Source organism: Homo sapiens, chromosome 17 (genome assembly GCF_000001405.40).
Source record: "Homo sapiens chromosome 17, GRCh38.p14 Primary Assembly".
NCBI lineage: Eukaryota > Metazoa > Chordata > Mammalia > Primates > Hominidae > Homo > Homo sapiens.
In genome coordinates this window covers 37577041-37603410 of record NC_000017.11, presented here as the reverse complement: position 1 = coordinate 37603410, position 26370 = coordinate 37577041, and the positions used below count along the sequence as shown (strand labels likewise).

Sequence of the window (26370 nt, the reverse complement as noted above, 5' to 3'; positions counted from 1 at the left end):
TCTGGAAAAGAATCACCATTATAATTTTTATGTTATTTATTGTTGTTGTTGTTGTTATTATTATTATTTTGGAGAGATGAGGTCTCACTATGTTGCCCAGGCTGGTCTCAAACTCATGGGCTCAAGCAATCCTCCCACTTTGGCCCCCCAAAGTGCTGGGATTATAGGTGTGAGCCACCAGACCCAGCCATTCACTAGATTCTCTAAAGAGTATCTAGAAACCTCCTTTTCAGATCCTTGACTCCCGGATTAAGAGCCTTTCTCACTCAGAAGTCTTCCTTGATTTGTCCCTTTTTCTTTCCAGGCTCAGAGAAAGAAGTCCCACTTCCTTTTCAAAGCAGATCCCTTTTGCTACTTTGTTTTGTTTTGTTTTGTTTTGAGACAGAGTCTCCTTCTGTCATTCTGTCTGCTCAGGCTGGAGTGCAGTGGGGCAATCTCAGCTCACTGCAACCTCCGCCTCCTGGGTTCAAGCAATGCTCATGTCTCAGCCTACTGGATAGCTGGGATTACAGGCACATGCCACCACGCCTGGCTAATTTTTGTATTTTTAGTAAAGATGGGGTTTTGTCATGTTGACCAGGCTGGTCTTGAACTCCTGGCCTCAAGTGATCCGCCTGCCTTGGCCTCCCAAAGTGCTGGGATTACAGGCATGCACCACCTCATCTGGCCCCCTTTTGCTCCTTCGCGTGTTAATCCCATTTCCTTAAAAACCTTATAAATCACTAGGTATGTATTTTGTCTCTTAAATTTTTTCTCCCTAGGGTCTCTTCCCCTTTCTTTGTTGAAACTAACTCACTTAACAATCACCATTTTTGAAAGCAGTGATTTATTTTTTAATCTTCATTCTCACCGCTATTCTACAGCATTAGACACTGGTAACTACTTCCTTGTTGAAATGTGGTCCTTCTTCAGTTATAACTCTCAGTTATAAGCACTCCCTTGGTTTTCAATGACCATTTCCTACTCAGTTTTCACTGCAAGAATTCTCCAAGTTTGTCCTTAGTTGTTTTGTTACTGGATATATGCCCTTGGCTATTTCATCTACAACCAGAGCTTAATTTTTTTTTTTTTTTGAAACGGAGTTTCACTCTTGTTGCCCAGGCTGAAGTGCAATGGCGCGATCTTGGCTCACTGCAACCTCCGCCTCCTGGGTTCAAGTGATTCTCCTGCCTCACAGCCTCCTGAGTAGCTGGAATTGCAGGCATGCACCACCATGCCCAGCTAATTTTGTATTTTTAGTAGAGATGGGGTTTCTCCATGTTGGTCAGGCTGGTCTGGAACTCCCAACCTCAGGTGATCCACCTACCTTGGCCTCCCAAAGTGCTGGGATTACAGACGTGAGCCACTGCGCCTGGCCAGAGCTTAACTTTTTAACCTTTATTTATTTATTTATTTGAGACGGAATCTCACTCTGTCGCCCAGGCTTAACCTTTATTCAAAAGAGCCTAGGCCAAGTGCCGTAGCTCATGTCTGTAACCCCAGCACTTTGGGAGGCCAAGGCAGGCAGATCATGAGGCCAGGAGTTCAAGACCAGCCTGGCCATCATGGTGAAACCCTGTCTCTACTGAAAATACAATAATTAGCCAGGTTTGGTAGTGCTCGCCTGTAGTCCCAGCTACATAGGAGGCTGAGGCAGTAGAATCACTTGAGCCTGGCAGGCGGAGGTTGCAGTGAGCTGAGATCATGCCATCACACTCCAACCTGGACGACAAGAGCAAACTCCGTCTCAAAAAAATAAAATAAAAATAAAGTTGTCAGCTTAAAAAAAACCTTAGAAGAGAGCTTTCTTACGCTCTAAAATGAGGACTTATTGTTTAATGGGTACAGAGTTTCTGTTTGGGATGATGGAAAGGTTCTGGAAATGGATAGTGGTAATGGTTGACAATATTGTGAATGTCCTTAATTATGCCATGGAATTATACACTTAAAAATGGTTAAAAATGATAGAATTTTATGTTATGTATATGTTACCACAATAACAATAAAACCTCTGACAACTTCATATAATATTCAAAATAAAATGAAACATTTTAAAGGCCCTTGACCAGGTGCGGTGGCTCACACCTGTAATCCCAGCACTTTGGGAGGCCGAGGCGGGTGGATCACCTGAGGTCAGGAGTTTGAGACCAGCCTGGCCAACATGGTGAAACCCTGCCTCTACTAAAAATACAAAAAATTAGCCAGTCGTGGTGGCGGGTGCCTGTAATCCCAGCTACTCAGGAGGCTGAGGCAGGAGAATTGCTTGAACACAGGAGGTGGAGGCTGCAGTGAGCCAAGATCGCGCCATTGCACTCAAGCCTGGGCAACAAGAGCGAAACTCCATCTCACAAAAATAAATAAATAAATAAAAATAAAAATAAAGGCCCTGTACAATCTGCTTGCTTTTAAATCATATAGTTAACATTTAACCTACATTCATTTCTCCAAACATCCCTGCATCTCTGCCTCAGAGCTTTTGCTCAAAATATATAGTGTGCTTCTATTTTCCTTCAAGATTCAGCTCCAGAGCTACTTCCATAAAACTTCTCAAGATATAGCCCATTAAAATTCATCTTTTTCTTCTCATCTCTATTAATAATTTGGACCTCGCTTATAGCAGTTAGCACATTTACCCTGTGGTATAGTTATTTGCCTGCATATGTGTATTTTTGATTATAAGATTCCATCATTTCATGTAGTTGACACTCAATAGATGTTGACTGAATTGAATCTAAACTCTCTCATTTTATAGATGGGGAAACTGGAATCCAGAGAGGACACGAAGTGACAGAGCCAGGACTAATTTCAGGGTCTTCTGTCTTTTGTTTCAACAAGTTTCCGTCTGCAGTAGCATGCTGACATGCATCCTATGGATGCTCAGTGTACTGATGTTGGGCAATTCAGTATTGTGGTGCAGAACAAACACCAGGTCCCATCTACAAGTCTTTTATCCATATAAAAAAGTACACGTGTTATTTGAAATCTTTGTACATACGAAGATTATAATGTATTTTTATTCTGTTTTCAGCTTCATGTTTCCTGTTGCAGGTGGGATAAGACCCCCTCAAGGTATGTGAGAGCTTAAGTTTTGAACTTTTATTTTTCACTCTTGTGTTTCTGAATCTGGGAATTAAATAAGTAAATAGAAAATAAGTTCTGTTGCTGCTGAATAGAGTAAAATTTTCTGCACTCTTAAACCTGTATGTCCTATATGACAGCTACTCTTAAATTTTCTCAAAAATTATATAATTTTGGGAGTAATAAGGATCACTCCTCGTTTCTCCCAAACTTACATAGACATTATGTTCATAGATTGTTTAACCTCAGAGGTGAAAGACTTTTAGGACAAGAATGTTAAAGAACAGGTGATAAAAATGAAACGAGCTGTAATTCACTTAATGATGTCTTTCTCCTTCTATCTAGTCTTCTGCTAGATTGTTAGTGCCATGTCTGTCTAATGCTCATCTAGCATTATTTGTAGCACCCAGCATGTTGATTCAGCACAATAGGTTATCTGTAGATGTTTGTTGAATGAATAAACAAACATCTTTAGTTGTTTTACACTGCTATTTTTTATCTATATGATAGTATCTTATTATAATCATGTTTTATAAATATATAATTTTGAAATTAAAAGAGATCACATAGTCTGATTCAGCTTAAGTATTTAAGTCTCAGGATTTTGTTTGGTTTTTTATTTTTATTTTTGAGATGGAGTCTCTTGCTCTGTCGTCCAGGCTGGAGTATAAGTGGCACAGTCATAGCTTACTGTAGCCTCAGCCACCTAGGCTCAAGCATTCCTCCCACCTCAGCTTCCCAGGTAGCTGGGACCACAGGTGCATACCACCACGCCTGGCTAATTTTTAAATATTCTGTAGAGACAGGGTCTCCCTATGTTGCCCAGGCTGGTATCAAATTCCTCGGCTTAAGCGATTCTCCTGCCTTGGCCTCCCAAAGCACTGGGATTACAGGCATGAGCCACCACATCCGGCCAAGTCTCAGTTCTATTCCTAGAAATTTCTCTAAGTATACCTTTTCTCTCTTGGTCTCAGACTAGGACCCACCAATATCAATTCTAGCTTTATCTTCAAGGAAATAGTAGTGAAGGAATATAATTTTGACCCATGCTGCCATGCAACTGGGACACAACAGTGAAGAAGGAATAGATCTGCCTTCATCTGGCTTCTTTCCGCTCATTTCTTTCACTCTGACAGTCTTCCCTCTCCCGTCACACCAAGCTGCTTCTGAAAACTGGCTCTTCTTAAAAAGCCAGCGTTGATTGGTTGTCATAGATTTGCTAAAGAAACAGAGACTCCTAGGTCAGCAGTAGAGATAAAAGATAAAGAGCAGCTCAGTAGCAGGTGGTCAGTGGCTCATCCTGACTTTGTCTTCATTTATAATCAGTGATGGTGGTTGGGTTTCAGGTAAGTTTTTCCAAGGCTCAGTTGTATTCTTTTCATCGTGTTCACATTTATGCATTATTTAAGCTATCTGTAATTAGATGTGTCCCAGATTGAGATCAAATGGTTTGAGATCTTTTGTTCTTTAGGAAGGTATTACAGAGTTATGTGTCCATTATCATGTTTGTTATTTTGCATTTCTATACACTTTCAAGTAAAAATATGCATATGGAGCAAAGGAACTGGACAAGAAGAGACCCCAAAGTGTTGCCTGATATTTTTTCTTAGGGAATTTGGAATTGGTTTGGAGATTTTTTTTTAACAGTTGTTAGAATGGACTTTTTGATCATTTGAAGGCTTTAAATTATGCATGGATCATTTCTGAAAACATATGTAAGAAACCGACAGCAAGGTCATGGCCACAAGATCATGAGTACTTGAACCGGAGACAGAGGAGAGAAAGAGACCTATTTTTTACTGTGTACACTTTTGTGCCTTGAAATATTATGCCAGATATCTGAGTTACCCATTCAGAAATAAAATAAAATCAGTTAAAATCAATAAAACTTTAAGTCCAAAGAAATAAGACGGAAAACATCTTACTGTGGCTATTTTCAATCTGTGTATTCTAATTCTCCCTGACACCTCGTGATCTTTGTACTTGGTGTTCTTTGGTCTGGAATATTTTTCCCAAACATCTGCATGGCTTGGTTCTTTATTTACTTGAGGTTCTTGTTGAAATACTACCCTGTTGGTAAAACTTTTTCTGATTGCCCTATGTAAAATAGCAACCACTCCATTCCCCCTTGCCCTGCTTTATTTTTTGCCCTAGCTCTTATCACCACCTGACATGTACTTATTTTTTTGTTATCTATCTCTCCTAATTACAGTGTAAGTTCCATGAGAGTGAAGACCTGGTTTTGTTCATGGCTATGTCCCTAGAACAGTGCCTAATACGGAGTAGGCTTCAAATACTTGAATAAGTGAATGGCCTACCTCTAATAACTGTTAGCCACAAATGTGGATGTCCATGCTTCTGAAATTAGGCTAGGTTATAAATAACCTGGGAGGTACACAAAAACCATAAGATAAACATGGTATAATTTCCTAGATCTTTAATTTTTCAAACTGACAGTTTGATATAAAGTTCCTTATGGTAGAACCAACATAGATGTAGTTTGAATGCAAAATTAGAATGAAATTTGTGCTCAGACTATGTAGGGATTTTGTTTTATTCACTTCTTGTGTACCAAGCACATAGAACTATGCCTAGCATATAATAAGCATTTAGTATTTATTAAAATCCCAAAGGGATGTATATTCATTCACCTCTGCTCTTGGAAAAGTTTGGGAAACACTAGCCTAAATCATACATTCGTGATAGTTTTCTGCCATTGCACATGCTGATGGCTATTTTGTGGTAACTGTTATATTACCTATTCATGTAAGAAAAAGGAAGAAGAATAACATTTCTTTGAGCATAGTAAGTATTAAACAGTTTTACAAATGATAAACCAAGGCATAGAAAGAAGCAGATTGCCCAAGGTTCCAAAATAGTATGTGTCATTTCTAGTTGGCTCCCAGAGTTCATGCTCCTAACTGTTATTTTGTTAGTTATCTGCTGTTGTGTAACAAATTATCCCAAACTTTAAAAAGTAAACATTTTATTATTTCATAGTGTGTCTCTCGGTCAGGAATCTAGGAGTAGCTCTGCTGGGTGGTTCAGGCTCAAGACCTCTTATGAGATTGCAGTGAAGATGTCAGCCAGGCTTGCAGTCATCTGAAAGTTTCATGGAGATGCTGCCGAGGTGGCTCGCTGAGATAGATGGCAAATTCATGCTGCCTTTTGGCAGAAGACCTCAGTACCTTACCACATGGATTCTCCATAGGTCTTATTGAGTATTTCATGACGTGGCAGTGGCTTGCTCCAGAGCAAGTGATCCAAAAGAACCAGGAGGAAACTACAGTGTCTTTTAAGAACTAGCCTTCAGGCCAGGCACAGTGGCTCACACCTGTAATCCCAGCACTTTGGGAGGCTGAGGCGGGTGTTGAGGTCAGGAGTTCAAGACCACCCTGGCCAAGATGGCGAAACCCCATCTCTACTAAAAAATACAAAAATTAGCTGGGCGTGGTGGCAGGCACCTGTAGTCCCAGCTACTTGGGAGGCTTGAACCCAGGAGGTGGAAGTTGCAGTGAGCTGAGATCATGCCACTGCACTCCAGCCTGGGTGACAGAGTGAGACTCTGTCTCAAAAGAAAAAAAAAATAACTAGCCTTCGAAGTTACATGCTGTCATTTCCACAGTATCCTGTTGGTTATACTGATCAGCCCCATTCAGTATGGAATGGAACAACACACGGGTATGAATACCAGGAGACAGAGGTCATTGGAGGCCATCTTGAAGGCTGAGTACCCCAATTAGGCCATACTGTTTTTTAATATGCATACAAATTCCATAGAAGAGATATTATCTTCATTTTACAGATGAAGTTTTGTAACTTGTTCAAGATCACACAGCTAAGTAAATGATGGAGTTGGAATTCATATTCACATCTGTCTCACTCAGGACCCTGTGCTTTTTCCATTACACTCTGCTTCCTGCCAAGTAACAAGTCCTTTAGGTACTTATGGTTTTAAGAAAATAAACTTTAAAACACATTGACTTTAATAATGTCTTTATATTTTCAGCAGGCCTGATGCCGATGCAGCAACAAGGATTTCCTATGGTCTCTGTCATGCAGCCTAATATGCAAGGCATTATGGGAATGAATTACAGCTCTCAGATGTCCCAAGGACCTATTGCTATGCAGGTACTTGCTTCTTTAGTTGGTTTCTTACAAAGTTATTGTTTGTTGTTACGTTTATATATCAAGAGCTACAGGCTAAGAGCTTAATGTTACAATTAGAAATAAGCATAAATAAATGGCTTCCTTCAAACTAAAATGAAGATGTGTTCACCCTCCAAGAGTGAGGGAAAAGGCTAGGTGCAGTGGCTCATGCCTGTAATCCCAGCACTTTGGGAGGCCAAGGCGGGCAGATCACTTGAGGTCAGGAGTTCGAGACCAGCCTGGCCAACATGGTGAATCCCTGTTTCTACTAAAAATACAAAAATTACCTGGGCGTGGTGGCATGTGCCTGTAGTCCCAGCTACTCGGGAGGCTGAGGCAGGACAATCCCTTAAACCCGAGAGGTGGAGGTTGCAGTGAGCCAAGATCATGCCACTGTACTCCAGCCTGGGCAACAAAGTGAGACTCCCGTCTCAAAAAAAAAAAAAAAGGCCAGAGGAAAAAAAGGTTTTTGCTTTTGTACTATTAACAGCTATCTTGAAGGCCATATACTGTATTTCTTTTTTACCTAATACTTTACTTATTTTTGCTTTTTTCAACTTATATTTTAGATTCAGGGGGCACGTTTGTAGGTTTGTTACACTAATATGTTGTGTGATGCTGAGGGTTGGGGTATGATGGAACCCATCACCCAGGTAGTGAGCATAGTACCAACAGGTAGTTTTTCAACCCTTCCCCCACTTTCTCCCGTCTTGTAGTCTCCAATGTCTGTCGAGCCTGTCTTTATGTCCATGTGCACCCAGTGTTTAGCTCCCACTTGTGAGAACATGCAGTATTTGGTTTTTTGTTTCTGCGTTAGTTTACTTATTTACCTAATACTTTAACATTTTCTATTTCTGTGTGTTTTGTTATACAGTATATACTTTTATACAGTAACACATGTATATAACTTATAAATAAGTGATATTAGGACTTCATGACCAGAATTTTAAGTTGAAACCATTGTTGTTTTGAAGTCGATTATGCAAATAAAGCTTCTGTTTTGTGTTTAAAGGGTCAGGAAAACTTCCAGTGTCATTTTTTATCTGTCTCTAGAAGGAAGGGAATACATTGAAATTGTGTAGGTTTTTAATTCATGTTAAGCTAGCTTTCACTAGGGTGTGCTGCAGAAACAGTCCCCAGATCTCAGTGACTTAGAAAAGTTTATTCCTCACTCGTGATACATATCCTTATGGGTTAGTGCTGACTCTGCTCCATGTTTTCTTTATCCTAAGACCCTCAGCCAGGACATCCTAGGCTCTTGGCATAGGAAAAAGAGATGGCCAAACCCTGTGATGTCTTTTAAAGCTAACACTTGGAGGTAGCATTTATTAGTCACTTCTGCTCACCAAAGTAATGTGGCCTTAACATCAATAGGGGAGGAATATACCAGGACGAATGTAAACCACATAGGGATGTGTAGTTCTCTTAGAATAAAGGTAGCAAATGGCTGGGAGCAGTGGCTCACACCTGTAATCCCAGCACTTTGGGAGGCTGAGGTGGGCAGATCATGAGTTCAGGAGATCGAGACCAGCCTGACCAACATGGTGAAACCTCGTCTCTACTAAAAATACAAAAATTAGCCGGGCGTGGTGGTGCATGCCTGTAATCCCAGCTACTCAGGAGGCTGAGCAGGAGAATCGCTTGAACCCAGGAGGCAGAGGTTGCAGTGAGCTGAGATTGCGCCACTGCACTCCCGCCTGGGCGACAGAGTGAGATTCCATCTCAAAAAAAAAAAAAAAAAAGAAGAAGAAAGGCAGCAAATAACTAAAAACAATCTACCATAGAATACAATGTATTTTAAATTAAGACTTCCTAAGCTTAATACTGAATCTTAATAACAATTGATACAAATTTTAAATCATTAATTTTTATTTTAATATTAAATATTAATTAAAATAATTAATATTGTAATTAATATAATTAAAATTAATATTATTGTAATTAATATAATTAAAATAATTAATATTGTAATTAATATAATTAAAATAATTAATATTGTAATTAATATAATTAAAATAATTAATATTGTAATTAATATAATTAAAATAATATTCATAAACATTATTTTATGACTTACACAATTATCTGAAAAATGTTTTTAGAGTTTGAAACAACCAAAAACAGTAAGAGTCTCTAATATGCAGAACAATAAGAAAAAAGTAAACTATGAGAGTTGTTAGTACCTTAATAATGTCCCTGAATATCAGAAGCTTGTGTATTAATGATTCTAAGACAAAGCAGCCAAAGTCTTTTTCTTTAACCTTTAATCTTGCTGACAGGCATTATACTGTTTGGAAGCTGCTCACCATTTTTTTTTTTTTTTTTTGAGAGGGAGTTTTGTTGCCCAGGCTGGAGTGCAATGGCACGATCTCGGCTCACTGCAACCTCCGCCTCCCAGGTTCAAGCGATTCTCCTGCCTCAGCCTCCCAAGTAGCTGGTATTACAGGCATGTGCCACCACGCCCGGCTAATTTTGTATTTTTAGTAGAGATGGGGTTTCGCCATGTTGACCAGGCTGGTTTCAAACCCCTGACCTCAGGTGATCTGCCTGCCTCGGCCTCCCGAAGTGCTGGGATTATAGGCATGAGCCACCACACCTGTCCGCCACTCACCATTTTTTAAGGAGAAAAACATCCAGATTTTATTTCCCCCCACCCCGAAACTCAATAGCCCTAACCAATCAGGGACATACATGAAGCAAACCCATTGTTCCTTTAGTTATCTCTTAAGTCTTTGGAGATAAAAGTGATGATTCAGATAAAAGTCAACATAAAAAAATTTAGTCTTTTTTTTGAGACAGAGTCTGGCTCTGTTGCCCAGGCTGGAGTGCAGTGGTACAATCTCGGCTCACTGCAACTTCTGTCTCCTGGGTTCAAGCGATTCTCCTGCCTCAGCTTCCCAAGCAGCTGGGATTACAGGTGCATGCCACCACATCTGGCTCATTTTTGTATTTTTAGTAGAGACAGCATTTCATAGTGTTGGCCAGGCTGGTCTTGAACTCTTGACCTCAAGTGATCCACCCGCTTTGGCCTCTCAAAGGGCTGGGATTACAGGTGTGAGCCATCGCGCCGGCCAGAAATTTAGTCTTGATTATTATTATATTATTATTGATTATTATAATCTCTCCCTTCCCCAAAACACATAAAAAGAAAACACTCCTCATGATGTACAATACATTTTAAAATTATTATTCTGAAGCATTTCAAACATCTAGGCAAGTTTAGAGCACATGATGGACATGTGTAAACCTGTTGCAAACTGTTGTGTTATTGTAAGAAATAATAGAAATCCTTTGCCCAGTTCCCCTATTGGTAAAACTTGTAGAAATATAGTAACACAACCAGCATATGGACATTGGCACAGCTGAGATACAGAACATTTCCATCTCCCCAAGGATCTCCTCACATTGTCCTTTTGTAGCTGTATTCACTTCCTTCCTGCCCCACCTTACTCCTTTTGCATTCACTAGTGTGTTCCCCATTTCTATAATTTTGTGTTTTCAAAAATGTTATATAAATTGAATCATTAACCTTTTGGGTTTGGCGTTTGTCGCTTAGAATAATCCCTTCAGATTCATCCAAATTGTTGCATGTATCAGTAGTTCATTTTTTTTATAATCGATGAGTAATAGTCCATGGTGTGGATGTATGACAGTTTGTTTAACCTTTTGCTCACTGAAGGACATCAGAGTTGTTTACAATTTTTGGCTATTACAAATAAAGGTTTTTGCGTGAACATATGTCCTCATTTCTTGGGATAAACGCCCAAGAGTGCAATTACTGGGTTGCATGGTATTGCATTTTCAGTTTTTTAAGATGCTGCCAAACTTTTTTCCAGAGTAGCTGTACTATTTTACATTCCCACCGGCAATGTATCAGAGGTTCAATTATACTGCATCCTTACCTGCATTTAGTGTCATTATTTTTTGTTTAGCCATTCTCACAGGTACGTTGTAATATCTCATGGTTTTAATTTGCATGGTTTTAATGTGCAGATGGTGTTGAGCATCTTTTCATTTGTTTATTTACCATCATTACATTTTCTTCAGAGAAATGCCTTTTCATAGCTTCTGACCATTTTCTAATTGCATTTTTTGGTATTACTATTGAATTTTGAGAGTTCTTTATATCTTTTAGGTACTAGTCCTTTGTCAGATATGTGGTTTACAAGTATTTTCTTCTTGTCTTTAGCTTGTCTTTTCACCCTCTTAACGGGGTCTTTTACAGAGCAAAAGTTCAATTTCGATGAAATTTAATTTACCAGTTTTTCCTATTATGGATCATGCATTGGTATAACTCTAAGAGTTCATTGCCTTGCCCTAGATTCTGAAGATTTTCTCCTATTTTTTTCTAAAAGTTTTATAGTTTTAATTTAAGTCCGTGATCCATTTTAAGTTAATTTTTGTGTAAGATCTAAGACTTAGATTGAGGTTGTTTTTTATCTCTCTCTTTTTACCTATGCAAGTGTGATTGCCCCAGCAACATTTGTGGAAAAAGCTATTCTGCTTCCATTGAAATGCTTTCACATTTTTGTCAAAAATCAGTTGGGCATGCTTGTATGGATCTTTCTCTAGGTTCTCTGTTCTGTTCTATTGTTTTATGTATATGCCTGTTCCTTCACCAATAACACAGTCTTCATGACGGTAGCTATACGATAAGGTTGATTCCTCCTACATTCTTCTTCTTTTCAAAATTTAACTATTCTGGTTCCTCTGTCTTTCCATATTAATTTTGGGATAGTCTTGTCTATCTTTGGAAAAACTCTTGCTGGAGTTTTGATAGGCATTGTGTTAAACCTCTGTATGAATTTAGGGAGAATTGATGTCTTCCAACATATCAATATGAGATGTCTTTTCATTTGTTTAGATCTTTGGTTTCTTCTATCAGAAGACTGTGTAAACTATCATTTACATAGTTTTCAGCATAAAAGTCACATCCATGTTTGGTTAGATTTACATCTAAATATTTTGATTTTTTGAGTAATTATAATGGCGTTTTTTAAATGTCAGTGTTCACATATTCATTGCTAGTATATAGAAATACAATTGATTGTTTATGTTTGTTTTATATCCTTCAACCTTACTGAACTCATTTTATTAGCTCTGGGAATTTTTTTGTGGATTCCATGGGATTTTTTAATATGGGTAGTCATGTCCTACCTTTATCAGATTTTAATATGCCACGTTTGTTTTACATTTTTTTAAAGAATTGAAAAATACTTTCCTTCCTCTCCTTCCTCAGAAGTTGTTATCACTATCATGAATTCGGTGTTTATAGTTCTCGTATGTATTTTTATACTACTCTGTCGCCCAGGCTTGGAGTGCAGTGGCGCGATCTCGACTCACTGCAGACTCCGCCTCCTGGGTTCAAGCAATTCTCCTGCCTCAGCATCCCTAGTACCAGGGATTACAGGTGTCCGCCACCTTGCCCAGCTAATTTTTGTATTTTAGTAGAGATGGGGTTTCACCATGTCGGCCAGGCTGGTCTCGAACTCCTGACCTCAAGCAATCCACCCACCTCTGCCTCCCAAAGTGCCGGGATTACAGGCATGAGCCACTGCGCCTGGCCATATTTTTATACTTGTATTATTTTATATATTTGTATACTCATGAGCAATATATCATATTTCCTAGGTTTTAAATTTTACGTATGTACCCTTCAAATTCTTGACTTTTTAATTTATGCCAAGTTCATTCATAGTAGCTGCTGTGTGGTATTTCATAGAGTGAATATATGTTGTTCTATTGACAGACATTTAAATTGCTTCTAATGTTTTGCTGTTTTGATTTAATTGATTTCTGAGTGTTCATTATATATTCTAGATTCTAATCCTTTGTAGTTACATGTGTTGCCAGTATCTTCTGCTAGTTGTTGGCATCTCTTAATTTTGTTTATAGTGTCATGTTGTGTCAAAATTAAGACAGATGGATAAATCATTTCTTTTTTTTTCTGACTTATCTAAGACATTCTTCCCTACCTGTATCTTCTTATTTAAAAAAAGTTAAGTTTCTTTTCTTTTCTTTTCTTTTTTTTTTTTTTGAGACAGAGTCTCGCCCTGTCGCCCAGGCTGGAATGTGGCGCAATCTCAGCTCACTGCAGCTGCCGCCTCCCGGGCTCAAGTAATTCACCTGCCTTAGCCTCCAGAGAAGCTGGGACTACAGGCATGCCCCATCATGCCTGGCTAATTTTTGTATTTTTAGTAGAGATGGGATTTTACCATGTTGTCCAGGCTGATCTGGAACTCCTGGCCTCAAGTGATCTGCCTGCCTCAGCCTCCCAAAGTGCTGGGATTACATGTGTGAGCCAATGCGCCCGGCCTGTCTTTTCAAATTAAGTCTCTAACCTACCTAGAATTGTTCTTTAGAATCAGTGTGTGGTAGAAGGATGTAATTTTATTATGTTCCATTGTAGTCAGTTGTTCCCAAATCATTTATAAATAGCCTTTTTTTTTTTCCTTTTTGAGTCAGAGTCTTGCTGTCGCCCAGGCTGGAGTGTGGTGACGCGATCTTGGCTCACTGCATGCTCTGCCTCCCGGGTTCACACCGTTCTCCTGCCTCAGCCTCCCGAATAGATGGGACTACAGGCGCCCGCCACCACGCCCGGCTAATTTTTTGTATTTTAGTAGAGATGGGATTTCATCGTGTTAGCCAGGATGGTCTTGATCTCCTGACCTGGTGATCCGCCCACCTCGGCCTCCCAAAGTGCTGGAATTACAGGCGTGAGCCACCGCGCCCGGCCCTAAATAGCCCATTTTTAATTTATTGATTTCTATGATTATTCCTGTAATATCACATTTCTTTATATGCTTTGGATTAATTTCTGAGCTCATGTATTTGTCCCATTGCTGTATCTGTCTTTCCTTGCATCAGTAAATATCTTATGCCTTAATTATCTAGCCTGAAATAAGCATTGATACCTGGTAGTATGGATCATCCTTCTTCTTTTACAGAATTATAGCTGATTCGTGGTCCTTGCCCTTCAGTATAATTTTAAGATCAACTTGTCAAAACACTGTTGGGGCTCTGACTGAAGTGGACACTTTTACTCTTTTAGTCTTAACTGTCATACTATACTTCTCAACTTATTGAAATCTTAAGTGCCATCAGTAGTTTATCAAATGTATCTCAGATTTCTGAGTTCTTTCTTTTGTTATGTCATCCATTCAGTATATAATTAAAGACTAGTATCTCTTAACCTTTTAGTTTATTTAGGTTTCAAAAGTCTGTTAAAAGTTAGACAGTCCCTCCTTTCCAGGTGTAGGGGAAACACAAAATGCCATTTAGTAAATTTGAATGTTCCTCAAGAAAGGAGTTTGTAAATAAGAAGGCAATATGCATAACACCTTTCTTTCTTTCATTCTTTATTATTTTTGTAGAATACTTTGCCTTATTTTTAATCTCTATGATTTGGGTAGTTTCTTTTGTATTTTATATACTTTGGGTGAAATGAGTAAAAAAAAAAAAAAGAATAATTCTAGGACTGTGATACTAATTTTTAGCAGCAAGAGATCAATACTATGATTTAAAATAAGTATACACAGCTATCTCCACCCAAGATTTAGAATAGAGAATGTTAGCAATAAACCAATATTGTGTGTAACTCCAGTTGTACAGTGCTAGAAACCCTCCAAAGGCATTCCAAGCTGGCTGGGCGTGGTGGCTCATGCCTGTAATCCCAGCACTTTGGGAGGCCAAGGTGGGTGGATCACTTGAGGTCAGGAATTCGAGACCAGCCTAGCCAACCTGGTGAAACCCCATCTCTACTGAAAATACAAAAATTAGTTGGGTGTGGTGGCACATGCCTGTAGTCTCAGCTACTTGGGAGGCTGAGGTGGGAGAATCACTTTAGCCCGGGAGGTGGAGGTTGCAGTGAGCTGAGATTGCCCTACTGCATCCCAACTTTGGTGACAGAGTGAGATCCTGTCTCAAAAAAAAAAAAAAAAAAAAAAGAATTTAAAGTGAATCCTCAATGTTTTTCTCTCCAGCATGGTTCAGTGGTTTTTGTATAAGCATAGAGAAGTCGATTAGTTGATTCTAATCAGGGGTGAAGTTTCCCAGGAGACCATGTTAAGGAATTGACAATTAAGGGAATTAAGGATATTTACAAGGGCATTTAATATGGAACCCTAGAATCTAAGTTGAGCAAGAAGGGAAGTGAGGATATAATGAAGATGATTAATCATGAGAAAAGTGGCAAAATTAACAGGTGGAACCTACAAAATAAGCTCACGGAAAAAAAATAAATTAACAGGTGGGAGATATTAATGAGATAGGAGAATTACTGATCTAGATGAGCTAGAAGGATAGGAGGTGGTGGTCAAGTGTCGGGATGCCTAACATCCAGATTTTGGACATGACACAGTCTTTGGTGCAGATAGATCATGGGTATTACCATGGAATGGGAAGCTGGAATTGTATGTTGGGCATGATTGTGATGAGGAGGCTAAAGACCTGGAAGACCACACAGTGTTAGGTGAGTTACCCATGTGGGTGATTGTTGACGTTACCAAGAGCAGTTTGGGGGTAGAATGGAAGACAGCAATGTCTGAAGTGTTCAACTGAAGAGTGAGGAAGTTGAGGGTCAGTAGATGACATGAACAAGATCGGATAGTAGATGATGAAGTCTGTTAGTGAGAAATTAAAATGTATTCAGGTTTTTGAAGGTAGAGAGAAGAGAAAAGGTTTAGAAGAAGCAAGGAGGAATATTCCCCACTTACAGGAAATATAGAAGAGAAGTAGCAGTCTCCAAATGAGAGTGTTTCACGGACAGACTTTAGTTAGGGACAGAAGAGGAACTTTTCAGGGAGAAGGTTGAGTAGTAGAAGAGTTTTCACTCATTAAAAATTAGCCATTTAATTATTGTCATTGTCATCATTCTTAATATTAGATTTTGAGCCAGGTGCCATCGAGGGCACACGCTTATAGCCCTAGCTACTCTGGGGCTGAGGCGGGAGGATCTCTTGAGCCCAAGAGTTGGAGGCTGCAGTGAGTTGTGATTGCGCCTTTGCTCTCCAGCCTGGGTGACACAACGAGACCCTGTCTCTAAAAACATAATATTATTAAATTTTGTGATTAGCTATTGTGTTATTATTATTTCTGGACACTTTAACAAACTTTATAATATTATGTAATTTTTTATTGAATATGTGTCATTTTCTATAAAAGTTTGACTATTAGGCCTTTGATAACATCAAAATATTCATTATCCTCTCATATATATTGGAAAATCAGATTTAATTTCATTTGTGGTATGTTTACCATATGCCAGGCTCTTACCTATTATTGCAAATATGAAAATATATAAGATATAATGCCTCTTCTCAAAGAGGATTAGTGAGCTCACAAGAATATAACTTGTGGGCATATAGTTCCATAACACACCAATCAGAGTATTAACAGTGGTCACCTCTGGGACAGTGAAGGGAATGGAGGGGTTAGATATTAAGGGGAGCCTTCCATTTTTAGCATCTTTTAATATAATATATTTCTTTGTATATTTGCATCTTTTATTTATTTGCATCTTTGCATCTTTTAATCCAATATATTTCTATTTTTTACAAATAAGAGTATTAAGATAGAATTTATGGAAGTCACATTTTTGTGTGTGATAATTAAAGGGATAAATTGTGTTTTTTAAGCCTTTGTCTGTTTCTTCTAGGCAGGAATACCAATGGGACCAATGCCAGCAGCGGGAATGCCTTACCTAGGACAAGCACCCTTCCTGGGCATGCGTCCTCCAGGCCCACAGTACACTCCAGACATGCAGAAGCAGTTTGCCGAAGAGCAGCAGTAAGAGATCACCAGAATTAAAGGATAACAAAGATACATTATAGCATCTATCTTAAGAATTGTCTAATGATCTCTAGTGCAGATTTGAAACTAAAACAGTCAAAAGTTGTCTTTAAAACTCTTAAGGCCTGGCCCAGTGGTTCATGCCTATAATCCCAGCACTTTGGAAGGCTGGGGTGGGCAGATTGCTTGAGCCCAGGAGTTCGAGACCAGCCTGAGCAACATGGTAAAACCCTGTCTCTACAAAAAATACAAAATATTAGCCAGGCTTGGTGGCTCATGCTTGTAGTCCCAGCTGCTCAGGAGGCTGAGGTGGGAGGATCACCTGGGCCCCGAGGTTGAGGCTGCAGTCAGCCGTGATCATGCCACGGTACTCCAGCTTCGGTAACAGAGTGAGACCCTGTTTAAAAACAAAAACAAAAAAGCCTCTTTAAACTACCATTATTATAAGTTTAGAGTCAAAAAGGACCTTAGAGATCCTGTAATTCAACCCTCTTGTTTTATATCTAGTGAAAGTGAAGTCCAGGAAAATGAAACAACTTGTCAGTCCAGGTTACACAGTTACCAGCAAAGCCTGGACCCAAAGGCAGGCTTCCTGATTCCCAAATCATTACTCTTTCTGCTGTATGACACTGCCTTCCCAAGCAGGTTCTTTTTTAATATGCAGAGCAAAGTGTGTTCTTATGTTTGTCTGCCTGTTTTTCGAGAATACTTTTATATGCAAAAGCTTGTTTCCTCCTCTTGCAAATTAGATGAGAAATAAATTCATATACATAATTTAGGTAAATCATTCTTTAGACTCATGTCAAATATTTTGGAATTAATATAGTGAGGAAACAGGATTGTCGTAAGAAAACTAGATATTTAGCAATGAAATTTACACTTCTGGAAGTGCAACATGATATTGCTGAAACTGTTAGAAATCTGAATATAAAACACAGTGTATAATCCCGGGAGCTGGTTCTTTATTAGATCATTTTTCCTTCAGGAAACGATTTGAACAGCAGCAAAAACTCTTAGAAGAAGAAAGAAAAAGACGCCAGTTTGAAGAGCAGAAGCAAAAGCTCAGACTTTTGAGCAGTGTGAAACCCAAGGTAGTATTTCAATACTTCTCTTCACCCAGAACATACACACCCTGAATGTGCCTCTTCCCACTCATTGAGTGGATTTCGTCACTGGGGCACCAGCCCAAGCTGAGGCTGTGATTGATTCTTCTCATTTTGGTTTACCTAATTACTAATGTGAAGGGTTTTTCATTTTCTGTAAAGATACACTGCTGTCAATGAGAATAGGCTATCAGCCATTATCTTTTCAGCTCTTTTTTAGTATCATGGCAATGTTTATAATCTTTTTCTTGGGAAGCAGTAATCCTGAATTCAGTGATATTTCATATTTCTCTTAGAGCCTTCACAGGACACTTAATATCAAACAGGTCTATCCTAAAGTATTTATACATTGGCCTTGTAATGTTTTTATTTTCTGTGGAGTGTCATTGTTTAATCATTTACCAATGTCTTGCTGACTTGGATAATTCATTATCAGAAGTATGTGGTAAAAATATTGGAAATAGATGAATATCTGTGCTTTTCTTAATTTGGGAGGGTTTAGGATACAGTGAGGGATAAGTAAAGAAATACGCATATATTTGTTGTCTCTTAGACAGGAGAGAAGAGTAGAGATGATGCTTTGGAAGCCATAAAAGGAAATTTAGATGGGTTTTCCAGAGATGCAAAAATGCACCCTACTCCAGCATCGCACCCCAAGAAACCAGGTAGTTTTAAGAGGCATTATATTTTTCTTTTCTGGGAAGGTGATTTATGTAGTCCCTGTTTCTTTACCTCGCCATTATATGTGTGTGTGAAAAGTCAATGTAGAACTCTTCCTTCAAGCTAAGTACAGATTTGGATGTTCTCAAATATACAGTGGCTTAAGAGCTCTGGTCTGGATAACAACTGTCTTGGGAGGAAAAAACCTCTTTGTCTTCTAATTAAATATCAGTATGACAATTTCACCTGTAAGTTTTCTGTATATAAATATGTTAACATTAGTAAAATCTATTCACTCAGAGCAAATGTAATAAAGGAGTTTACCATTTAATTCTCATTGTTTTATAGTAATTTTTATGAACTAGCTCTGATTTCATTACTTAATGTGATTAAACTTACAAATTCTTAAAATGCCTCATTTAAGAAAATCATGAGTATAATAATGCTCTTCTTGAAATGTTAGTTTCCCTAATGCATTTCTTTGTAATTTTTATCATCATTTATTGTCAGGTAAGCAAAAAGAAACGTCCCTGTTTTAGAGCAGGGTAAAGGGATTGGAGGTTGGGGTTTGGTTGTTCTTTTGAACATTTAGCAGTTGAAATGAGTCTTGTATTTGCATAATTGTTACCACATTATTTTTAAAAATTCAACATTTCAAGCCAGGTGCCATGGCTCATGCCTGTAATCCCAGCACTTTGGGAGGCCGAGGCAGGTGGGATCACTTGAGGTCAGGAGTTCAAGACCAGCCTGGCCAACATGGTGAAAACCTGTCTCTACTAAAAATACAAAAATAAGCTGGGCATGGTTGTGCATGCCTGTATTCCCAGCTACTCGGGAAGCTGAGGCAGGAGAATCACTTGAACCTGGGAGGCGGAGGTTACAGTGAGCCGAGATCATGCCACTGCCCGCTCCAGCTTAGGCATCAGAGCAAGACTCCATCTCAAAAAACAACAAAAAACAAATTCAACGTTTTGACATTTTATCAGCTGATTCCAAGAAAACATACCTAATAGGTGAACAGTTTTCATAAATCATTTAGCCAGCCAAGAAAGTACTATCTTCTGCTGGAAAATGTTGCATTGATAAATTTTATCTTGAACCCTTGTATTATAGTACCTTTCATGGGTGATATCAAGAGGGAATAATCACTGGCATAGTAACCAGTTCTTGATTTTTCCGGGACAACTTTGACTCTGTTCTGTTAATTTCACTTAAGATTCCCATTCCAAAAGTATGCCCCAAAATAAAATATACAAGATTGAAAAGAAAACAGATATTAGCAATCAGGCTGAGATTAGAAAGGAAAAACATATCTAAAAATGAAAATTATAAGGTGAATAAGCTAGTCAAGAAGTAATTTAGGAATATATATTAGAAGTTAATACTAAAACTAGACCTAGGCTGGAGGTTAGGAAAAGTAGAGAAAGGCAGTCAGGAGTTCAAGACCAGCGTGGCCAACATGGTGAAACCCCATCTCTACTAAAAATACAAAAAATTAGCCAGGCATGGTGGCACGTCCCTATAATCTCAGTCACTTGGTAGGCTGAGGCAAGAGAATAGCTTGAACCTGGGAGATAGAGGCTGCAGTGAGTCGAGACTGCGCCACTGCACTCCAGCCTGGACGACAGAGTGAGACTCCATCTCAAAAAAAAAAAACCAAAAACCTAGTCCTAAAGTATTTATAAAAAGAGTTTCCAGCCATTCTACCACCAAAGGCACCTTTTAAATTTCTCTTTATAGATTGTTTATCTTAAAATACTGAATATACAAACTATATTGATCATATAACTTTTTTTTTGAGACAGGGTCTCATTCTATTGCCCTAGTGCGGTGACATGATCACAGTTCACTGCAGCCATGACCCCCCAGGCTCAGACAATCCTACCACTTCAACCTCGTGAGTAACCGGGACTACAGATGCGCACCACCACGCCTAGCTAATTTTTGTATTTTTTGTAGAGACGGGATTTCACCATGTTGCCCTGGCTAGTCTCAAACTCCTGGGCTCAAGCAGTCCACCTGCTTTAGCCTTCCAAAGTGCTAGGATTACAGGTGTGAGCAACTGTGCCTGGCCCATCATTTAACTTTTATACTTCTTTTTAATCATATACCTAGCTGCTAGAGTTGGTATGGGCCAAAATATATTCCATGTAGAAGTCACACATTCCAGCCAAATGCAAAGAAACATTGGTTTGGTCTTTACAGTATATCCCAAGGAAATAGGGTCCATTTAAAAAATATTTTAAGTAGCTGGGAACCCAAATTGAGAACCTAAATCCAGCCTTGGTAATTGTTGGGAGACTTGGAATACAATGTGGGAGGGCTTTTTCTTTTTTAAACAAACTTGATTAAGGCAATAATTTTGCATATTTTGCATCTTTCTTAGAACTTTCAGTGCATCCAGGTTTTATTGCATTGATCCTAAAGAGAGGAAAGAAGTATGCAGGGTCTCCATTTTTCAGACAAGAGCCATTTCTTAAAAAAAAGACTACTCCTGAGCTTCAAGTCAGTGACAAAAAAAAAGACTGCTTATTGTGACAATAGACTTTAGTCATATTAAAGCAATTCAAAGTAATTTAAAATGTGGGGAGGCCAGGTGCGGTTGCTCAAGCCTATAATCCCAGCACTTTGGGAGGCCGAGGTGGGTGGATCACCTGAGGTCGGGAGTTCAAGACCAGCCTGACCAACATGGCAAAACCCTGTCTCTACTAAAAATAAAAATTAGCCAGGTGTGGTGGCGCATGCCTGTAATCCCAGCCATTCAGGAGGCTGAGGCAGGAGAATCTCTTGAACCCAGGAGGCAGAGGTTGCTGTGAGCGGAGATCATGCCATTGTACTCCAGCCTGGGCGACAGAGCCAGACTCTGTCTCAAAAAAAAAAAAAAAAAGAAAAAAAATGTGGGGCCAGGAGTGGTGGTGCACACCTGTATTCCCAGCTACTCAGGAGGCTGAGGCAGAAGAATTGCTTGAACCTGGGAGGCAGAGGTTGCAGTGAGCTGAGATTGTGCCACTGCACTCCAGCCTGGGCGACAGAGCTAGACTCCATCTCCAAAAAACAAAAACAAAAACAAAACAAGGTAAGGCGTGGTGGCTCACGCCTATAATCCCAACACTTTGGGAGACCAAGGCAGGCAGATCACCTGAAGTCAGGAGTTCGAGACCAGCCTGGCCAACATGGTGAAACCCCATCTCTACTAAAAATACAAAAATTAGCCGGGCGTGGTGATGGGCACCTGTAGTCCCAGCTACTTGCGAGGCTGAGGCACGAGAATCACTTGAACCTGGGAGGCAGAGGTTGCGGTGAGCTGAGATTGTGCCACTGTTCTCTAGCCTGGATGACAGAGGGAGACCCAGTATCATAATAATAATAATAATAATAGTAATAATAATAATAAATGTGAAGAAGCAACAATAAAATAGTATTGTTAATGAGCTTCATGTTAAATGTAGCCCCAGTAGAGCAGGTTTATTACATAAGTGAATTTTACATTTAACAATAAAAAGCCACAGTGACATTTATATCCTTTAGTGCCAAAGATCTTTTAAAGGTAGTTGTAGTCTTCAGGCAGGGTTTACTTTCTTAAATTGACTATAGTTGTTTGATTCAGCTCTTCATGATATCCTAATATTGATGCTTTTCACAAGAAAATATCACCTTAATAATGTGTTTAATGTTCTTGTCTTGGCCAGGCATGGTGGCTCATGCCTGTAATCCCAGTGCTTTGGGAGGCCAAGGTGGGTGGATCACCTGAGGTTAGGAGTTCAAGACCAGCCTGGCCGATATGGAGAAACCCCCGTCTCTACTAAAAATACAAAAATTGGGCTGGGCGTGGGGACTCACACCTGTAATCCCAGCACTTTGGGAGGCCAAGGCAGGTAGATCATGAGGTCAGGAGTTCAAGACCAGCCTGGCCAAAATGGTGAAACCCCGTCTCTACTAAAAATACAAAAGTTAGCTGGGTGTGGTGGCACGCACCTGTAGCCCCAGCTACTTGGGAGTTTGAGGCAGAAGAATCACTTGAACCCAGGAGGTGGAGGTTGCAGTGAGCCGAGATCGCGCCACTGCACTCAAGTCTGGGCGACAGAGCAACAGTCTGGGCGACAGAGCAAGACTCCGTCTCTCTCTCTCTCTCTCTCTCTCTCACACACACACACACACACACACACACACACACGAAATACAAAGATTAACTGGGCATGGCGGTGCATACCTGTAGTCCCAGCTACTTGAGAGGCTGAGGCAGAAAAATCTCTTGAACCGGGGGAACAAAGCAGAGGTTTCAGTGAGCTGAGCTCATGCCATTGCACTCTAGCCTGGGCATCACAGCAAGATTCCATCTCAAAAAAAAAAAAAAAAGTTCTTTTGTAATTTTTATTTCTCATATGGTAACTTTACTGAAATATGATCTATGCAAGTGTGTGGATCGGGCATGATATTTCAAAAATTACAGCTTTGTATTGTGCATTATTTCTTACTGAATTTCTTAATAAATAATGAAATTTAGTCATCATGGTATATATCTGTCCAAAATGTATTCAGCACTATATTGGTAGGTTTTCTTATATCTGATGTATATTGGTTTGAGATAATATTATCTAGATAAACAGATCATTTCAACTGCAAAAATAATCATCACTTTGATGTAAATCATTAATGGTCTCAGGGGAAAAATTATTAATCTAATAAAAGAAAGACAGTCAAGGCCAGGAGCTCGAGACCAGCTTGGGCAACATAGTGAGACACCATCTCTATGAAAAAAAAAAAGAAAGGAAGAATTAGCTGGGTATGCTGGCATGTGCCTATATTCCTAGCTACTCAGGAGGCTGAGGCTGAAGGATTGCTTGATCCCACGAGTTTCAGGCTGCTATGATCATGAGCTATGAGCATGCCACAGCACTGTAGCCTAGGTGACAGAGCAAGATCCTGTCTCTAAAATAAATGAATAGATACATGTATTTTTAGTTTTACCTTTTTTGAACCAAATACAAAATAGCTATTAAAACTCCCCTTTAAAAAGACATAAAATTGTGTATAAATAGACATCAAAGTGTTTTACATGCATCATGCAATTCCATTTGACTATTGTTACTTGTTATTTCTTGTTCACCTCCACTATTTATGTTTCAATATATTCTTTTGGAATTGTACTACATCTTAATTCCTTTTTCTCTGTTGGTTTCCATTTTTGTGTGTTTCATTGCCATTTTCCATTTTGCAGATTGCCCCACATCATCTCATTCTACTAAAACTGTCTCCCCATCACCTGCCTTTCTTGATGAAGAAGAATTCAGTGACTTTATGCAGGGGCCTGTTGAAGTTCCCCCATGTGGGCCTTCTTCCACGTCCCAGCCCTTTCAGTCTTTCCACCCCTCCACCCCACTTGGCCAGTTGCATACACAGAAGGCTGGGACACAGCCTCTCCCTCCAAGTCAGAGTCCAGTGCCTTTTGCCTTACATGGCGTCCCTGGGCAAATTCCTTACTTCTCTACTGCTTCAGCCTCACACAGTGTACCAGAAGCAGGTAACTCTTAGCATTATTAATGAAAATATTCTTAAGATATCCTGGGATAACTTATTTCTGTTATATAAGTAGAATAATCCAGTGATGTTGGCAAATAAACATGCACATAAATGTATGACTGCTGTTGAAATTCAACAAAACAAGTGTCTAGATTTTTAAGTTCTGGGGTCTTGACATTCCAGAAAGGTGATTTAAAACTTTTGCTCCTCAACTAGGAGCACTTTAAACTGCCTTATAACTTTAAAAGAAATCTTCTGATTTTTCCAGAAGATTGTTGTTTGGGAGATTCACCGATATCATTTTCTTAAGAATAAGGAGCTAGGAAAGGCTTCTTTAGAAAGTACTCTTTCAGCTTCAGTGACAGGGCACTTGGGGGCAGAAGCCCAGGTTGTCCATTTACTGTCAATTTGTCCTTGGTGTGCCTTAGATTTTGTCATCTATAAAATGAATAGAGACAGCTACACATCCTGGCTTGAGACAGGGTGCTGGGAGGGATCTTGGCAGACATGTACTTAGTCCAGACTGTCTCATTTGATGGACATGGAAACAGACCAAGAGATGATGATGATGTTACTGGCCAGAGGCCTCCCTAGGAGTTAGTGGAAGTGTTATCTTATGTAGGTTGTCAGATTTCAAAGGTAGTGCTCCTTCCACTACACTCTTCCACCTACTGTCTCATAGAATTCTTTAGAATCACAGTAGATAATTATGTTTACATTCTCTAAAATCTCTGAAGTCTCTCAAGTCCTATACAAATGTGCAGTGATTGAATTATTTCAACGTTTACTTTTTTTTTTTTTTGAGACAGAGTCTTGCACTGTCATCCAGGCTGGAGTGCAGTGGCGTGATTTCAGCTCACTGCAACCTCCGCCTCCTGGGTTCAAGTGATTCTCCTGCCTCAGCCTCCCAAGTAGCTGAAATTACAGGTGCCCGCCACCACGCCTGGCTAATTTTTTGTATTTTTAGTAGAGATGGGGTTTCATTATGTGGGTCAGGCTGGTCTTGAACTCCTGACCTCATGGTCTGCCTGCCTTGGCCTCCCAAAGTGCTGGGATTACAGGCTTGAGCCATGGTGCCTGGCCACAATGTTTACATTATACGTGGCAGGGCCTCCCTTTAGAATATGGGGGTGAGCTGGGCACCGTGGCTCACTTCTGTAATCCCAGCACTTTGGGAGGCTGAGGTGGGTAGATCACCTCAGGTCAGGAGTTCGAGACCAGCCTGTCTAACATGGCGAAACCCCGTCTCTACTAAAAATACAAAAAATTAGCCAGGCTTGGTGGCGGGCGCCTATAATCTCAGCTACTAAGGAGGCTGAGGCAGGAGAATTGCTTGAACCTGGGAGGCAGAGGTTGCAGTGAGCTGAGATCATGCCAGTACACTACAGCCTGGGTGACAGAGTGAGATTCCATCTCAAAAAAAAAAAAAAAAAAAAAGAATATGGGGGTGGAGATGGATGGTTAAAAAGATTAGACATATACAGTTATATACAAATAATCCTTCATGCTCTTTGTTTAGGCCCTTCCTTGGAGGAGAAGTTCCTAGTATCTTGTGATATAAGTACATCTGGGCAGGAACAAATTAAATTAAATACTTCTGAAGTTGGCCACAAAGCCCTAGGCCCAGGTTCCAGTAAGAAGTATCCCAGTTTAATGGCCAGTAACGGGGTTGCTGTAGATGGATGTGTAAGTGGTACCACCACTGCAGAGGCAGAAAATACTTCAGATCAAAACCTGTCAATTGAAGAGAGTGGTGAGCTCGTGAAGCATTCAGCAAAAAACTTGTTTAACCAAATGTTGCTCAAATGCTAACACCTTAAGCATTAATCTTCAAATGAATGCTGCTTGATTTTGCTAATCGAAATTTTGCTTGAAATATATTTAATGCATTCCTTTCTCCAATTAACCCCTAAGATTTTGCTCTGAATTCTTTCAACACACTGTTACTCCTTTTTAAAAATGATTTTGATAACTGGTTTTCTTAATTGGAATCATTTCTGATTTAAAATTTTCTTTCCTTTTATTTTATAAAAACTCTCTTTTTTCCCCCCTTATACTTTCTGTTCTTCCATAAAGGTTGAAAAGTTAAAAT

At 39.5% G+C, this 26370-nt stretch overlaps 1 protein-coding gene across 52 annotated transcripts in view, besides 2 other annotated features; it reads left to right on the top strand.

Annotated features, from left to right (window-relative positions):
* SYNRG (synergin gamma) overlaps positions 1-26370 on the top strand; it is a 94612-nt gene that overhangs the window by 6008 nt on the left and 62234 nt on the right. For 13 of the 52 annotated variants that reach the window (XM_047435226.1, XM_047435239.1, XM_047435233.1 and 10 more), the window contains exons 2-8: positions 3008-3048; positions 7067-7188; positions 16862-16992; positions 17981-18086; positions 18652-18763; positions 23977-24279; positions 25798-26031. In XM_047435226.1, the coding sequence (XP_047291182.1) occupies positions 3012-3048; positions 7067-7188; positions 16862-16992; positions 17981-18086; positions 18652-18763; positions 23977-24279; positions 25798-26031 (1045 nt within the window). In that variant the 5' untranslated portion in view covers positions 3008-3011. The remainder of the gene's footprint in view (positions 1-3007; positions 3049-7066; positions 7189-16861; positions 16993-17980; positions 18087-18651; positions 18764-23976; positions 24280-25797; positions 26032-26370) is intronic. The other 39 variants (XM_017024081.3, XM_047435238.1, XM_047435235.1 and 36 more) reach the window with 6 other exon arrangements.
* Positions 13308-13807: an enhancer, noted in NCBI's record as "H3K4me1 hESC enhancer chr17:35949711-35950210 (GRCh37/hg19 assembly coordinates)". NCBI's record gives its function as "activates a minimal SCP1, AML or CMV promoter by ChIP-STARR-seq in naive H9 embryonic stem cells {active_cell/tissue: H9 hESC(naive)}" and the evidence as "EXISTENCE:reporter gene assay evidence [ECO:0000049][PMID:30033119]".
* Positions 13808-14309: an enhancer, noted in NCBI's record as "H3K4me1 hESC enhancer chr17:35949209-35949710 (GRCh37/hg19 assembly coordinates)". NCBI's record gives its function as "activates a minimal SCP1, AML or CMV promoter by ChIP-STARR-seq in naive H9 embryonic stem cells {active_cell/tissue: H9 hESC(naive)}" and the evidence as "EXISTENCE:reporter gene assay evidence [ECO:0000049][PMID:30033119]".